We start from the raw sequence: 1,794 nt of genomic DNA, 5'->3' as shown, positions 1-1,794 counted from the left end.
AATCTACTGTCAGTTCCAATTTTGTCGGCTGACCTAACAATATCCTTTGTAGCATTTTTTCCTCCAGTACAGGGTCCAGCCTAGGATGGGATACACCAGATATATGTACGGATCCTATCTCTGTAGTCTCCTGTAATCTGGACCATTTCCCCAGCTTTTGACTTAGATGGCATTGAAATTATGAGTCAAATATATCATGCACACAAGGACGCTCATTTTGGGTTTGTCCGCTGTCTCCTGGTGCTTTGAGGCCATGCATTCCTGGCCAGGACATTACATAAGTGAGGCTGTGTCCCTCTCAGGGCATTGTGTCTGGGAGTGCCATGTCCTACGAGTCGTTTATTTAGGAGGTGAGCCCAGGAGTATTGGGGAAGTGACCCCAGGACATGCTCGCGGGGTAGTGGAGATTGAGAGAGGGGAGGAAAGGGGGACTGGGGGAGTGCCAGCCTGGCCTAACGACATTCAAATAAAAAATGAAATTAATGTGCCTGCCCCCACTCCAGCAGGCAGATAGAATGTGACAGCAGGCCAGGTATGTGCCAGCCATCCAGACCATCTCTGAGGAGGACAGCATGACAGCATGTCCCCCTTGCAGATGAACAAGTCCCCAAGGCTCAGAGCATACATCATCTCTCTCCAGCTGTGACAAGGAGGGGACCCTCCGTTGTCCCTCCGGACCCTGGCCAGCTTAGGCACGACCTGCCTCACACATTCTTAGAGCTAAAAGGACCTTAATGGTCACTGGCTCCATCCTGCCCGTTTTACAGGTGTGGGTGTGGAGGCCCAGGGAGGACTCATAATTTGGCAAGCCACACTGCCAGGGGTGGCCATGCCAAGACTCAAAACCCAGTCTCTGAACACCTAGCCTGGTGTTCTCAGCTCTGTGCCACCCAACCCCCGCCCAGCGCCAGCCTCTATCCAGTGCTGAGGGCTGTACTTGACGTCTAAGCAAGGGGTACCTCCAGGAATCTAATGTTGGTTAAAAATAAAGCAAAGGGAAGCCGCTGTCCCCACGGGCCCTATGGCCTCCTTGTCATCCACAGCTGTCCGTTCTGAGGCGGACTTTGCTGAGTTGAGCAGAGCACAGCCCTGCCTCCACGGCAGCCTACTTCTAGATGACACGTGGAGAGCCATGGAGTCAGTGACTCAGCTGCTGCACGACTTTCGTAACTCACCTTTGCCATAAGGGGAACAAAGCCGAGGGGAACACTGGGGTCCATGTGACGTGAATTGGAATGAATTCAGGTGCCCTGAGCTAAAATTAGCCAATCTTGCCGCTTCCAAAGGCTTCCATTGTACTTGGCCAATGACCAGCCTGAAATAAGATCCCCTTTGGGAAGTTCAGAGCTTCACCTTGCACCTTCCTAACTAAGCATTCAGGGCCCCCACCTCCCTGCAAATCTCAGAGAAACATTAAACGATATTAAGAAGTGATGCTGTGGCATCTCTGGTGTACTGAGGTGGGGCCACTCATGAGGCCTGCTGGGGTTGACCTTGAGGATGTGAGAGATTCTTCCTAGAAAGGGGGTGGCAGGGGCCAGGTATCACTCACCTCAACCCACCACCAAGACTTGAGTCAAAAGTTGGGCCTATAGGCCGAGCACAGTGGCTCACGCCTGTAATCCCAGCACTTTGGGAGGCCGAGGCGGGCGGATCACGAGGTAAGGAGATCAAGACCATCCGGGCCAACGTGGTAAAACTCTGTCTCTACTAAAAATACAAAAAAAAATTAACTGAGCATAGTGGTGCATGCCTGTAGTCCCAGCTACTCAGGAGGCGGAGGCAGGAGAATTA

The 1,794-nt window shown here is 52.3% G+C and overlaps 1 annotated feature.

Moving 5' to 3' along the window:
• Positions 942–1,443: an enhancer, noted in NCBI's record as "H3K4me1 hESC enhancer chr16:84247937-84248438 (GRCh37/hg19 assembly coordinates)". NCBI's record gives its function as "activates a minimal SCP1, AML or CMV promoter by ChIP-STARR-seq in primed H9 embryonic stem cells {active_cell/tissue: H9 hESC(primed)}" and the evidence as "EXISTENCE:reporter gene assay evidence [ECO:0000049][PMID:30033119]".

The sequence above is a fragment of the Homo sapiens genome, chromosome 16 (assembly GCF_000001405.40).
Source record: "Homo sapiens chromosome 16, GRCh38.p14 Primary Assembly".
NCBI classification, from domain to species: domain Eukaryota; kingdom Metazoa; phylum Chordata; class Mammalia; order Primates; family Hominidae; genus Homo; species Homo sapiens.
This window is presented reverse-complemented; position numbering and strand designations above follow the sequence as displayed.